This window comes from Homo sapiens, chromosome 7 (assembly GCF_000001405.40).
Source record: "Homo sapiens chromosome 7, GRCh38.p14 Primary Assembly".
NCBI classification, from domain to species: Eukaryota; Metazoa; Chordata; class Mammalia; order Primates; family Hominidae; genus Homo; species Homo sapiens.
Genome location: NC_000007.14, coordinates 80,127,358 through 80,128,218, shown reverse-complemented (window position 1 = coordinate 80,128,218; position 861 = coordinate 80,127,358). Strand labels below are relative to the sequence as shown.

Sequence of the window (861 nt, the reverse complement as noted above, 5' to 3'; positions counted from 1 at the left end):
TCTTCCCCTGCCCCAGTGTTGTTTGCCCTTACCAAAATTTCAAATATGCTGTCCTAACAGAGGATCAAGCAAACCTTGGGCCAAGCTTGAAGCATAGGCTAGCTTCTGAAGAAAAGAGCTACCTGGCTTTATTAAAGCCTATGAGTTTATTTACTACATTGGCTTTAAAAATAGCTATCTTGACACCTCCCCCTCTGTTTATGCTTCCTGCTGGCTCAGCTGTTTTTCTTTCACTGTAGCTCTTTGTTTAAGCTGTGAGGCTGGCATGTGTGTCTCTTGTTCAGCTCAGCAGGAACTGCAACAGAAGGGTTGATAGAGGACTGGGAGTAGGAGGCAGGCCAAAGGGATTCAGGGAAGCATTGAGTGCTTTTCTGTTCTAATTACTATCAGTGGCAATATTATTCCAAATAATTGTATTAAAGGGTTTAGCAAACATTTGTTGAATATCAGTGGTTTATTAGACCACATATGGAGTAGGGGCTAAAAGGAATAAAATGTTTTCAGTTTTTAAGAAATATCTCTTTGTAAGAGTTCAGGGTCCAGGTGCATTGGCTCATACCTGTAGTCCCAGCACTTTGTGAGGCCAAGGCAGGAGGATCCCTTTAGCCTAGGAGTTCAAGACCAGCCTGGGCAACATAGTGAGACCCTGACTCTACAAAACAGTTAAAAATTAGCTAGGGATGGTGACATGCACCTGTGGTCCCAGCTACTTTGGGAGGCTGAGATGGGAGGATTGCTTGAGCCTGGGAGGTCGAGGCTGCAGTCAGCTGTAATTGCACCACTGCACTCCAGCCTTGCATCAGTGCACTCCACTTTGGTCTACAGAGTAAGACCCTGTCTCAGACAAAAACAAAACAAAAC

The 861-nt window shown here is 44.6% G+C and overlaps 1 annotated feature.

Moving 5' to 3' along the window:
- Nucleotides 1-540: an enhancer, noted in NCBI's record as "OCT4-NANOG hESC enhancer chr7:79756995-79757534 (GRCh37/hg19 assembly coordinates)". NCBI's record gives its function as "activates a minimal SCP1, AML or CMV promoter by ChIP-STARR-seq in naive H9 embryonic stem cells {active_cell/tissue: H9 hESC(naive)}" and the evidence as "EXISTENCE:reporter gene assay evidence [ECO:0000049][PMID:30033119]".